Below are 14,564 nucleotides of genomic sequence, written 5' to 3' on the forward strand. Positions count from 1 at the left end.
ATTTTGTTGCCTTTGTTGTTCTCGCATGCCACATTCATTCTTTCAAAAAATTTTATTGGTTTGCCTTCAAAATTTCTCAATTTTAGTCACTTGCCATCATGTATACTGCTACCTCTTGCCCTAAACACCACTAAAAGTTTGCTTAGATAACTGCCATAGCCACTTAACTAGATCTCTTATTCAATCTTGCCCCCTCTACAGTCATTGCCAACATGTGTGAAAGTGATATTTCAAAACATGAATCAAATCATTTTGCTTATTTCTGAAAACCCTATGAAACTTTCTGTTTCATGCATAGGCAAGTCAAAGTCCTTGTGAATGCTAACAAGGTCCTATATTTTTGTTTTTCCCCTTTCTATTACTTCTCTGACCTCATCTGCTATTGCTCTCCTGCTGTCCCAAGCCATGCTTCTCTCACTGCAGTTTGACCACACCAGTCCCTTTGTTCTTTCTCATCACAGAAGGCCTGCCACTGCTCTATCTCAGGACAATCAAACCAGATATTCTCTATACCTGAGATGGTTTTTATTTTCCAGATGTCTGTATAAAATTGGCCACATTACCTTTTCAGCATGCTTTACCTTGACCACCACATATAAATCGCCAGTTCTGTCTAACCCAATCATGTTTCACTTTACTCTGTTCTTTTTTGCAGTAGCACTCATCTCCTTTTAAAACAATATAAAATATTTATTACATTTACTGCTTATCATCTGTCTCCTTTTGCTAGACTGTAAGCTCTACAAAGGCAGAAGTGTATATCTTGTTCACAGATGTGTCACTGATGATCACTTCGCAGGAGGGAAGATGCCTGGACAGTACCTGACATCAGTAAATACTAAATTACTATTAGTTAATGTGGTAGTCAGAAAATCACCCTACCAAAGATATTCAGTCCTAATGCTTAGGGAACTGGGAATATGTTACCTTACCTGGCAAAGGAGAATTCGCTGATGTAAATAAATTAAGGATGTTGAGATGAAGAGATTATTTTGGATTATGTAGATGACGAATATAATCAAAAAGATCTTTATTAATTTTTTCTTTCCAATGTTTATTTTAGGTTTAAGGGGTACATTTGCAGATTTGTTACACGGGTAAATTGCATGCTGTGAGGATTTGGTGTGCAGATAATTTTGTCACCGAGGTAATAAGCCTAATACCCGACAGATAGGTAGTTTTTAATCCTCACCTTCCTCCTACCCTCCACCCTCAAATAGGCCCCAGTGTTATTGTTCAAAAGGCTCCTTCTAAAAGAAAAAGAGAAATGCAGGAGTATCATAGAGAGAAAAAATTTATGGTTTTACACAGCTGGCTTTGAACATGCTGTTAAGGTGGAAAAAACAAGAAAATGAATTCTTCCCTAGAACTCACAGAAAGGAATGCAGCCCTACCAACATTAGGATTTTAGCCCCATAAGAACTAGCTCAGATATCCAGAAAGATACTAAAGTTGTATTGTTTTAAACCAGTAAGTTTTGGGTAATTTGCTACAGTAACAATAGAAAACAGATACTATTAAACTAATATATTACCTTATAATTCTCCCCATATATGTAATTTTTCAGAGATGTAACATCGGTGTTTGATAAAAAAGTATGCATTCCTGTGTGTTATTTGATATAGTTCATATATATAAAGACAATAAATAAATTGGTTAAGGCCCCTAGAATTATAATAATTATAAATTTGCAAACCATTATGCCATTTGGGATATAATAGTATATTGAGCTTCTTGAAGTATTAAATTTGAAACTTGAAATGTAAGTAGAAATATTTCCTTAAAGAAATAAAAACTGATAATAAATGTTTACCTGGAAATAATATATTACTACCCAATTTTTTTTGTTAAATATGTGCTAGCAAATATCTTTATTTTAGTTCTCAGAGGCTGTGATGCATTCATATTTATAATCAGCATTGTAAGCATTATTTCATTATGAAATCCTGTTTTTATTAATCATATCATGGAACTAGTCTTTCCTAGGATATTGTTTTGGAAAAATTTGTTTAGGCTCAACTTACTGAACATGAATATTTCGCTTAGATACATAGTAATTTAGCCAAGGTTGCTAGTGAATGTAGTGAGCAAGAAGCCACATCTTCGGACATGCAATTTTATTTCACTAAACAAGCCTACTTTACTATGATTAATAAGCCCCCTAGAGTATGGTCCAATGTGTTTAACTTCATTAAAGTATTCTGACATAAACACCATCATGCCCAGAAACACCAGTTAATTGCTTCTTTGTTGTAATTTTGCATTTATTTTTGAAATATATTTTTGCTGAATATAGATTCTGGATTAAAAGTTGTTTTCTTTTCACCATTTTCAAGATGTCATTCCATGTTATATTGGCTTCTGTTGTTTCTGATGAGAATCTCATGGGCATTCTTATCATTGTTTTCTGTGCATATTTTTTCCTCTGGCTGTTTCGAAGGTTTTCTCTTTATCATTGTTTTCATAAATTTGATTTTGTTATGTTGATATTGATTTCTTTGTGCTGATAGATCACATGGAGTCTGAGCTTAAACTTCTGTTCAAATTTTGGAAATTTGGAGTCATTATTTCTTGTACTTCTGTTGCTTCTCCTCTTTCTGAGATTACAATTACATACATATCAGACTCCTTGATATCAATAGCTAGGTCATTACAACTCTGTTTTTGTCGTTATTGTTGTTGTTTGTTTTTCTCTTGTTTTCACTGTACGTCAATTTTGATAAATTCTATTTTCCTGTCTTCAAGTTTACTGACCTATTCTTCTGTATGGAATCTTTAAATATATTCAGTGAAATTTCATTTCACGTATGTATTCTCAAATCCTGAAATTCTATTCATTTTTTAATAGTTTCTTTCACTTATCTTTATATTCATGTTCTCATTAATTATTTGACATATCTATAATAGCTATTGCCACACCCTTGCCTTGTAATTTAATAATCTCTATCATTACAGGGTATTTGTTTATTTGATTATGAGTTCTGAGTCACACTTTCCTGATTTTTTCACATGGGTGGTAATGATGAAAATCATTGAAATGTACACTTTAAATGGGCTTGTTTTATTGTATTCAGTTTATGCTTTTTAAAAGTTGATTAAAAATCACTGCAATAAATTGCCTGGTTTAATTCACTTGTGCTCACACAAACAACTATACATTTTGTGTTTCAGACTTTAGGAATTATTGACAAAAGGAGTAAGAATGTGGAGAGAATTACATAGCTGCAAAGAATGTTTGTCATAGCTGCAATGGGAGTAAGAAGACATTGAAGGACATTGAATAGAAAGTAGAAACACTTTACATCAAAAGGAAAGAAATTCATACTATACTTTTAACAATTTTATCAACCCGCTTATTGATTGTATTAGTTTGCTAGGACTGCCATGATAAAATACAATAGTCTAGGTGGCTTAAATAACAGAAATAAATTTTCTTACAGTTGTGGAGGCTATACATCCAAAATCAAGGTGTCATCAATGTTGGTTTTTGGTGAGACCTTTCTTCTTGGCTTATGTCCAGATGCCTCATTGTGTCCTTACATGACCTTTCCTTTGTGTACTAGTGGAGATAAACAGGACTCCTGTGTATCTTCTTCTTATAAGAATACCAATATTGCTTTAGGACCACACTGTTATAACCTCATTTTACCTTAATTACCTCCTTAAAAAACTTATCTCAAAGGGGTCACTTTGAAACTTAAGGCTTTAACATACTATTTTGAGGGAGGGGGACACAATTCAGTCCATATCATTCTGCCTTCCAGCTCCCCAAAATTAATGTCATTTTTGCACAAAACATACATTCATGACAACTCAACAGCCTCCACAATCTTAACTCATTTTTAGCATCATCTCTAAAGTCTAAAGTTCAAAGTCTCATCTAAATGTCATCTAGAGGATAGAGCAAGGTTGTGAAATAGAGGCCTACACTATTCATCTGCCCTGCAGGGACACCAAATTTTAACAACTACCTGCACACAAATAAGCACCATCACAAAAACCAAAATCACAGTATCTGGTTTTAACTTCATATCACTGAAAGAAGCATTAAGGAGGACAGGATAGACAGTATAAAATCACCAATTCCACCCCTTCATTGTCCTTTGGCAGTGGCTGTGAGCCATCAAGAGAGAGCCTATGCACTTGGAGGACAAAGTGCATAGCAACTGTGGGACGTCGCATTGAATTCATCCTGTCCCAGTGGAGGGCAAAGTTATACTAGGGTCAGCCAGGATGCATGCATGGAGGGAGCACTTGGACCAGACCTAGTCAGAAGGGAATATACCATCCCAGTGGTCAGAACTTCAGTTACTCAGCAAGATTTAATCACCATGGGCCAAAGTGCTCTGGGGCCCCAGGTAAACTTGAAAGGCAGTCTAAGACATTAGGACTGAAATTCCTATGCAATTGCTCATGCTGGGCTTGGCTCAGAGCCAGAGAACTGGGCAGCATGTGACCTTGGGAGACACAAGCCGGAACAGCTAAGGGAGTGCTTAGACCACCCCTAATGCAATCCCAGGCAGCACAGCTCACAACAACAAAAGGGACTCCATCCTTCTGCTTAGGGAGAAGAGAGTGAAGAGTAAAGAGGACTTTGTCTTGCATCTTGGATACCAGCTTAGCCACAGGAGGATAGGGCACTGGGCAAAGTTGTGAGGTCCATTTCAGGTCCAACCTCACAGACTACATTTCCAGACATAATTGGGCCAAAAGGGAACCTGCTTCCTTGAAGGGAAGTACTCAGTCCTGGCAGGATTTATTAACTGCTGACAAAAGAGCCCGTGGGCACCAAATGACCAGTGGCAATACCCAGGTAGTGTGCTGGGGGCCTTAGGCTCTGAGACATACTGGCTTCAGGTGTGACTCAGCACATTCCCAGCTACGGTGGCTATAGGAAGAGACTCCTTCTGTGTGAGAAAAACTGAAGAGCCTTTGGGCTTTAAGTGAACATTGGCAATGGCCTGCCAGAACCCCCTGTTGGTTGTTGTTGGTGGTGGTTATAAGGAAAGGCTGCTCTGCTTGGAAAAAGAGGAGGAAAGAGTGAGAAGGATTTTGCATTGTAGTTTGAGTGTCAGCTTAGCCATGGTAGAATAGAACTTCAATAAATTTCTAAGGTTTTTTACTCTGATCCCTGGCTCCCAGACAGCATCTCTATATGTACATAGGGCCTGGGTAACTTCTTGTCTTGAAGAGAACACAAACCTAGATGGCTTCACAACCTGCTGATTATATAGTCCTTGGGCCTTAAGGGAAAATAGATGTTAGCCAGGGGCAAGATCCAGTGCTGTGCTGGCTTTAAGTATGACCCAGTGGTGGTGATCAAAGGTGTGTTTGCATCTCCACAACCCCAGTTCCAGGTGGCTCAGCACAGAGAGAGAGATACTCCATTTGTTTGGGAAAAAGCAAGAAAAATAAAAAGTCTCTGTCTGGTAATTTAGAATATTCTTCCAGATCTTATCCAAGACCACCAAAGTGGTACCTCTACAAATCTGCAGAAAACACAGAGTTATTGGGTTTGGGGCCCAAGTCCTTTTCAGAAACTGGAAAGCCTTCCACAAACAAGTCCACACTGTGAAGACAGTAAGTACATAACTCTTCAATGCCTAGTCACTAACAAACAACTACAAGCATCAAGACTATTCAAGAAAACATTACCTCACCAAATGAACTAAATAAGGCACCAGGAACCAAACCTGGAGAAAGAGATCTGTAACTTTTCAGACAGATAATTCAAAATTAGCTGTTTCGAGGAATCTCAAAGAAATTCAAGATAACTGGATTAGTCTGTTCTCATGCTACTAATAAAGACACACCCAAGATTGGGTGATTTATTAAGGATAGAGGTTTAATTGATTCACAGATCCACATGGCTGGGGAGGCCTCACAATTATGGTGGAAGGTGAAAGAGGAGGAAAGTCATGCCTTATGTGGTGGCAGGCAAGAGAGCTTGTGCAGGGAAATTCACATTTATAAAACCATCAGATCTTTTGAGACTTATTAACTACCACAACAACAGTAGAGAGGAAAACCACCCCCACGATTCAGTTATCTCCACCTGACCCTGCCCTTGACACATGGGTATTATTATAGTTCAAGGTGAGATTTGAGTGGGGACACAGCCAAACAATACCATTCTACCTTAGCCCCTTCCAAATCTCATGTCCTCACATTTCAAAACAAATCATGCTTTCCCAAAAGTCCCCCAAAGTCTTAACTCATTTTAGCATTAAGTCAAAAGTTCATAGTCCAAGGTATCATCTGAGAAAAGGCAAGTCCCATCTGCCTATAAGCCTGTAAAGTCAAAAGCAAGTTAGTTATTTCCTAGATACAATGGGGGTACAAGCACTGGGTAAATACACACATTCCAAGTGGGAGACATTGGCCAAAGGAAAGGGCTACAGGCCCCATGCAAGTCCAAAATCCAATGGGGCAGTCAAATCTTAAAGATCCAAAATCTTTTTTGACTTCATGTCTCACACCCACGTCACACTGATGGCAAGAGATGGGCTCCCACAGCCTTGCACAGTTCTGCCTCTGTGGCTTTCCAGGGTACAGACCTCCTCCCAGCTGCTTTTATGGGCTGGCATTAAGTGTCTGTGGCTTTTCCAAGCACATGGTACAAGCTGTCAGTGGATCTACCATTCTGGGGTCGGGAGGATAGTGGCCCTCTTCTCACAGCTCCACTAGGCAGTGCCCAGTGGGGACTCTGTGTGGGGGCTCCAAACCCACATTTCCCTTCTGCACTGCCCTAGCAGAGGTTCTCCATGAGGGCTCCAACCTTGAAGCAGACTTCTGCTTGGACATCTACATGTTTCCATACATTCTTTGAAATCTACGCAGGGGTTCCCAAACCCAAGTTCTTGACTTCTGTGCACCCACAGGCCCAACACCACATGAAACTGCCAAGGCTGGGGGCTTCCACCCTCTGAAGGCACAGACCAAGCTGTACCTTGGCCCCTTTTAGCCATGGCTAGAGCAGCTGGGATGCAGGGCACCAAGTCCCTAGGCTTCACACAACAGGGGGACCCTGGGCCTGGCCCACAATACCATTTTTTCCTCCTAGGCCTCTGATCTGTGAAGGGAGGGGCTGCTGCAAAGGTCTCTGAAAAGCCCTGGCGATATTTTCCCATTTTCTTCACAATTAACATTTGGCTCCTTGTTACTCATGCAAATTTCTGCAGCCGGCTTGTATTTCTCCTGAGAAAATGGGTTTTTCTTTTCTATTATGTCATCAGGCTGCAAATTTTTTAAACTTTCATGCTCTGCTTTCCTTTTAAACATAAGTTCAAATTCCAAACCATATCTTTGTGAATACATAAAACTGAATACTTTTAACAGAACTCAAGTAACCTCTTGAATGTTTTGATGCTTAAAATTTCTTCTGCCAGGTGCCCTAAATCATATCTCTCAAGTTCAAAGTTCCACAAATCTCTAGCACATGGGCAGAATGCCACCAGCCTTTTTACTGTATCACAGCAAAAGTCACCTTTGCTTCAGTTACCAACAAGTTCCTCATCTCCATCTGAGACCACCTCAGCCTGGACCTTATTGTTGATATCACAATCAGCATTTGGGTGAAAGCCATTCAACAAGTCTCTAGGAAGTTCCAAACTTTCCCACATCTTTCTGTCCTCTTCCAGACTCTCCAAAGTGTTCCAGCCTCTGCCTGTTTCCCAGTTCCAAAGTTGCTTTCACATTTTGGTCTATCTTTAGAGCAGCACCCCACTACCCAATACCAATTTACTGTATTAGTCTGTTCTCACACTGCTAATAAAGACATACATAAGACTGGGTAATTTATAAAAGAAAGAGGTCTAATTTGACTCACAGTTCCACGTGGTTAGGGAGGCCTCACAATCATGGTGGAAGGCAAATGAGGAGCAAAGTCATATCCTACATGGCAGTGGCAAGAGAGCTTGTTCACGGAAACTCCCATTTGTAAAATCATCAGATCTTGTGAGACTTATTCACTATCACAAGAACAGTATAGGAGAAACCACTCTCAGGATTCAATTATCTCCAACTGGCCTTGCCCTTGACACATGTGGATTATTACAATTCAAGGTGAGATTTGGGTGGGGACACAGCCAAACCGTATCAATAACACAGAGAAGAAATTCAGATCTGATAAATTTAACAACCTGATTAAAACACTTAAGAAGAATCAAGCATAAATTCTAGAGTTGAAAAATGAAATTGACATACTGAAGAATGTGTCAGAATTTCTTAATAGCAGAATTGATCAAACAGAAGAAATAATTAGTGAGCTTGAGTTGAACACAGGCTATTTGAAAATACACAGCCACAGGAGACCAAAGAAAAAAGAACAAAAAAGAATTAAGCATGCTACAAGATCTAGAAAATAGCAAAAAAAAAAAAAAAATAGGCAAATCTAAGAGTTATTGCCATAGAGAGAAGGCAGATAAAGAGATGGTGTAGAAAGTTTATTCACAGTTCATTCAAAGGAAAATATCTATGTGTGTGTGCATATATATATATATATATATATATATATATATATACATATAACATGTATAAAATATATTATATATAATATATATAATATATATTTTTTCAAATACAAGAAGGCTATAGAACACCAAGCAGATTTAACCCTAAGAAAGCTACACACTACACCAAGATATTTAACAAATAAATTGCCAAAAATCAAGGATAAATAAAGGACCCAAAAATAGCAGGAGAAAAGAAATTAATAACATAACACTGACCTCCAACAGGCCTGGCAGCAGATGTTTCAGTGGAAATCTCACAGGCTAGAAGACAGTGGCATGACATATTTAAAGCATGGAAGGAAAAGACTTTTACCCTAGAATAGTATATTTGGTGAAAATATACTTTAAACATGAAGGAGAAATAAAGAACTTCCCAGAGAAACAAAAGCCAAGGTATTTCATCAATACCAGACTTGTTCTACAAAATATGCTAAAGGGAGTTCTTCAATCTGAAAGAAAAGATGTTAATGAACACAAAGAAATCATCTGGAGGTACAAAACTTATTGGTAATAGTAAACACACAGAAAAATACAGAATATTATAACACTGTAATTATGATGTATAAACTACTGTTGTCTTAAATAGAAACACTAAATGAGGAACCAATCAAAAACAAATGACTATAACAACTTTTCAAGACATAGGCAGTACAATAAAACACAAAGAGAAACAAGAAAAAGTTAAAAAATGGGAAATGAAGTTAAAATGTATAGTTTTTACTAGTTTTCTTTGTGTAAGTTTGTTTCTTTATGCAATTAGTGTTGTCATTAGTTTAAAATAGTGGGTTATAAGACAGTATTTGCAAGCCTCATGGTAGCCTCAAATTGAAAAACATACAACTAATAAACACAAAATAAAAGTGAGAAATTAAACTCTACCATCAGAGAAAATCATACAAGAATGATAGAAAGAAGGAAGAGAATACTGCAAAGCAATCAGAAAACAAATAACAAAATGGTAGGAGTAAGTCCCTACTTACCAATAGTGACATTTAATGCAAATGAGTTAAACTTCCCAATCAAAGGATATACAGTGGCTGAATGAAGAAACAAGACTCAATGATCTGTTGCCTACAAAAAATACGCTTCATCTATAAAGAAACACATAGAATTAGAATAAAGGGATGAAAACAAGATATTCCATACTGACGAAAACCAAAAATGAGCAGGAGTAGCTATATTTAGACAAAACAGATTTCAAGACAAAAACTGTAAGAAGAGACAAAGATTATTATATAATGATAAAGTGGTCAATTCAGCAAAAGGTTATAACAATTGTAAATATACATGCACCCAACACTTGAGCACCCAAATATATAAAGTATATATCACTAGAGCTAAAAAGATAGACAGACCTCATTAAAATAATAGCTAGAGACTTCAACACCTCACTTTCAGCATTGGGCAGATCATTCAGACAGAAAATCCACAAACAAATGTCAGACTTAATCTGCACTATAGAATAAATGGACCTATTAGATGTTTACAGAACATTTCATCCAAAGGCTACAGAATAAATATTCTTCTCTTTTTCACATTGATGTATTCTCAAGGATAGACCATATGTTAGGTCATAAAACAAGTGTTAAAACATTGAAATAAATTGAAATAATATCAAGCATCTTCTCTAACCACAGTAAAATAAAATGAGAAATCAATAAGAAGAATAATTTTGGAAACTATACACATACATGGAAATTAAACAGTATGCTCCTGAATGACCAGTGGGTAAATGAATAAATTAAGAAGGAAATTGAAAAATTTCTGGAAATAAATGATAATGGAAACATAACATATCAAAACCTGTACTGAGAAAAAGCAGTACTGAGTGAAATTAACAGCTAGAAGTGACTACATCAAAAAGAAGAAAAACTTCAAATGAATAGCCTAAGAACGGATCTTAAAGAATTAGAAAAGCAAGAGGACACCAAACCCAAAATTAGTAGAAGGAAATAAATAATAAATATTGGAGCAGAAATAAATGAATTTGAAATGAAGAAAACAATAGACATAGCAATGAAACAAAAAAATTGGTTTTTTGAAAAGACAAAATGGAAAACCTTTAGTCAGATTAATAAAGAAAAATAAATAAATAAAATTACAGATGAAAGAGACATTAAAACTGACATCACAGAAATTCAAAGGATTATTAGTAGCTACAATGAGCAAATATATGCCAATAAATTGGAAAATCTAGAGGAAATGGATAAATTCCTAGATACATACAACCTACCAAGATTGAAATATGAAGACATGGAAAACCTAAGCAGGTCAATAACTAGTAACAAGATTGAAACTATAATATAAAGTCTCCCAGTAATGAAAAGCCCAGGACCTAATTGCTTCACTGCTGAATTCTATCAAACTTTTAAAGAAGAACTAAGGAATAACTGGCTAGCCACATGAAGAAGATTGAAACTGGACTCCTTTTTTACACCATATACAAATATCAACTCAAGATGCATTAAATACTTCAATGTAAAACCTAAAACTATAAAAACCCTGGAAGATAACCTAGGAAATACCATTCTGGATATAGGACCTGGCAAAGATTTCATGACAAAGACACCAAAAGCGATTGCAGTAAAAATAAAAATTGAAAAATGGGGCCTACTGCAAAGCAAGCAAACTATCAACAGACTAAACAGAAATTCTAGAGAATGGGAGAAAGTATTTGCAAACTATGTAACTGACAAAGCCCTCACATATAGAATCTATAAGGAACTTAAATATGAAAGCAAAAACAAAAAAAAAACAATAAAAAGTGAGCAAAGGATATGATCAGATAATATTCAAAAGAAGACATACATGCAACCAATAAGCATATGAAAAAATACTTATTATCATTAGAGAAACACAAATCAAAACCACAATGAGATATCATCTCTCAATGGTCAGAATGGCTATTAATAGAAAGTCAAAAAATAACAGATGCTGGTGTGTTGTGGAGAAAAGGGAATGCTTATAAAATGTTGGTGGGAATATAAATTAGTTCACTCATTGTAAAAAGCAGTTCAGCAGTTTCTGAAAGATTTCAAAGTAGAATTGTCATTCTGCACAGCAATTCCATTATTGGGTATATAGCCAAAGAATATAAATCATTTTACCATAAAGACACATACACATGAATGTTCATTGCAGCACTATTCACAATAGCGAACATATGTAACCAACCTAAATGCCCATCAATGGTAGACTGGATATAAAAAATGTGGAACATATAAACCATGGAATACCATGCAGCCATAAAAATAATAAGGTCATGTTCTTTGAAGCAACATAGATGGAGCTAGAGGACATTATCCTAAATGAACTAACACAGGAACAGAAAACCAAATACCACATATTCCCACTTATAAGCGGAAGTTAAAAATTGAGTACCTATGGACACAAAGAAGAGAAAAACAGATACCAGGACCTACTTTAGGGTGGAGGGAGGGAGGAGAGTGAGGATCAAAAAACTGCCTATCAGATACTATGCTTATTACTTATATGGTGAAATAATCTGTACTCCAACCCCTGCCTGACACCTAATTTACTTATATAACAAACCCATACCTGTACCCCTGAATTTAAAAGTTAAAAAAAAAGAAACTAAAAGAAAACAAAAAAGTGCCTTTTAAAACAACAACAAAAGAAAAAAAGAAAGAACTTATACCAATTCTACTCATACTACTTTGAAAAATAAGAGGAGGAAAAAATACTTTTAAATTAATTCTACAAGACCAGTATTAACCTGACACCAAAACCAGACAAAGACACATAAAAAAAGTATAGGTCAATATATCAATTAAATATTGATGCAAAAATCCACAATAAGATACCAGCAAACTAAATAGAACAATAAACTAGAAAGCTAATTCATCAAGGCCAATTGAGATTTATCTCAGGGATGCAAGGATGGGTCAACATATGCAAATCAGTGGATGCGATACATCATATCAACAGAATGAAGGAAAAAATCTATATGATAAGTTCAACTAATGTTGAAAATGCATTTGATAAAATTCAATATTGCTTCATGAGAAAAATCTTCTGAAACAACTAGGTATAGAAGGAACAAACCTCAAAATAATAAAAGCCCTAAATGTTAGACGCACATTTAGTATCATACTAAATGGAGAAAATCTGAAAGCCCTTCCTCTAAGATCTGAAACACAACAATGATGCCCACTTTCACCACTGATATTCAACATAGTAATGGAAGTCCTAGCTAGAGCAATCAGACAAGAGGAAAAAATAAAGGGCATCCAAAATTAAAGAAAGAGGTCAAATTATGCTTGTTTATATAGATGGTATAATTTTATATTTGGAAAAACCTAAAGACTCCACAAAAATCTGTTAGAACTGATGATTCAGTAAAGTTGCAGGAAACAAAATCAACATACAAAAATCAGTAGCATTTCTGTTTGCTAGCAGTGAACATTCTGAAAAATAAATAAAAAGTAATCCCACCTACAATAGCCACAAATAATATTAAATACCTAGGAATAAACTTAACTGAAGAAGTGAAAGATCTCTATAATAAAAACTATAAAACACTGATGAAATAAACGGAAGAGGACACCAAAAAATCAAAAGATATTTCATGTTCATGGATGAAAAGAATCAATATTGTTAAATAGTCATACAGATTAAATGCAAAATAATAAACTGATTCAGTGCAATTCCTGTCAAAATACTAATGACATTCTTTACAGAAATAGAAGAAACAATCCAAAAATTTGTGGAACTACAAAATTCCCAGAATAGCCAAAGCTATCCTAAATAACCACCACAAGAACAAGAACAACAATAACAACAACAAAAACTGAAAGAATCACACTACCTAATTTCAGATTGTACTACAGAACTAAAACAACCAAAACATCATGGTAGTGGCATAAAACCAGACACATAGACCAATGGAACAGAATAGAGAACACAGAAATGCTGCTACATTGGCAGTTAAATCTCCACAAACCTACAGTGAGTTCATTTTTAACAAAAATGTCAAGAACACACATTGGTGAAAACATCGTCTCCTCAACAAATGGTGTCGGGGAAACTGGATATCCATATGCAGAAGAATAAAACTTGTCTCCTCTCTCTTGCCTAACACAAAAATCAAATCACAATGAATTACAGACTTAAATCTAAGACCTCAAACTATGAAATTACTATAAACTATGAAACTACTACATTGCAAAATCTTCAGGACACTGGTGGCCCTGCCTGTCAGCTCAGGATGGTGACTCCACCCCCTGGCTCTTTGGTGTGGCCTCATCCCCACAGCTTTATGCAGAGACCCCCATCTCTGAGGCTCTGAGCAAAGACAGCCTGACCCATTGAAACAAAAGAGATGGCCCTATCCTCTGAAAACAAGAATGAAACAACCTTGCCTTCTAGCCCCGTTGAGGGGAGTGTCTGCCCTAATTATTTCTGAGCCATCTTGAGAGTTACTCCTCCCATTTCTTGAAGGCAGAAGCAAATTCACAGCTAAAAAGCTGTATCATCCTGTCCTGTAGAATCCCAGAAGTTAGAAAACTTATATTTATTTTATCCAATCTCTGTTCACTTTAGTCCAGACTGGCAATGTTCCTATTTGCATACTCCTCTCTGTATTCTTGTTTTCTGCTGAGGTGGCTGATTAACTAGATGTATAATCTCTTTGTGAAGTAATTGTCCGGTGTTCTCTCTAGAACAGGCTTTCTTTTTTCTTTTTCTTTTTTCTTTTTTTTTTGCAATTAGGACAGGCAGTACTTTTTAAATCCTAATATTCTTTTTGGTCAATTCATTCAATTTATCTCCCTGCTCTCACATTTTATCACAAGCAATAAGAAGAAGCGAGGTTCATTCTTCACCCTTAGAAGCTTAGAAATCTACTTTGCTAAATACTCAATGTCTTTATTTGCAAATATACTTTCCAAAAAGCACTAGAACATACTTCAGCTAAGTTTGTTACCACTTTATATTAAGAATCACCTTTGATTATGATTTGAATGTATCCCCCTAAAGTTCACGTGTTGGAAATTTAACTGCCAATGTAGCAGTATTAATAGTTGGGGCCTT

General features: G+C 36.1%; 2 annotated features.

Annotated features, from left to right (window-relative positions):
* Positions 4,087-5,286: an enhancer, noted in NCBI's record as "CDK7 strongly-dependent group 2 enhancer chr2:155956194-155957393 (GRCh37/hg19 assembly coordinates)". NCBI's record gives its function as "activates an origin of replication core promoter dependent on BRD2, BRD4, P300/CBP, MED14 and CDK7 cofactors, with strong dependence on CDK7, by STARR-seq in HCT116 cells {active_cell/tissue: HCT116}" and the evidence as "EXISTENCE:reporter gene assay evidence [ECO:0000049][PMID:35650434]".
* Positions 4,610-5,110: an enhancer, noted in NCBI's record as "H3K27ac hESC enhancer chr2:155956717-155957217 (GRCh37/hg19 assembly coordinates)". NCBI's record gives its function as "activates a minimal SCP1, AML or CMV promoter by ChIP-STARR-seq in primed H9 embryonic stem cells {active_cell/tissue: H9 hESC(primed)}" and the evidence as "EXISTENCE:reporter gene assay evidence [ECO:0000049][PMID:30033119]".

Source organism: Homo sapiens, chromosome 2 (genome assembly GCF_000001405.40).
Source record: "Homo sapiens chromosome 2, GRCh38.p14 Primary Assembly".
Classification (NCBI taxonomy): Eukaryota; Metazoa; Chordata; class Mammalia; order Primates; family Hominidae; genus Homo; species Homo sapiens.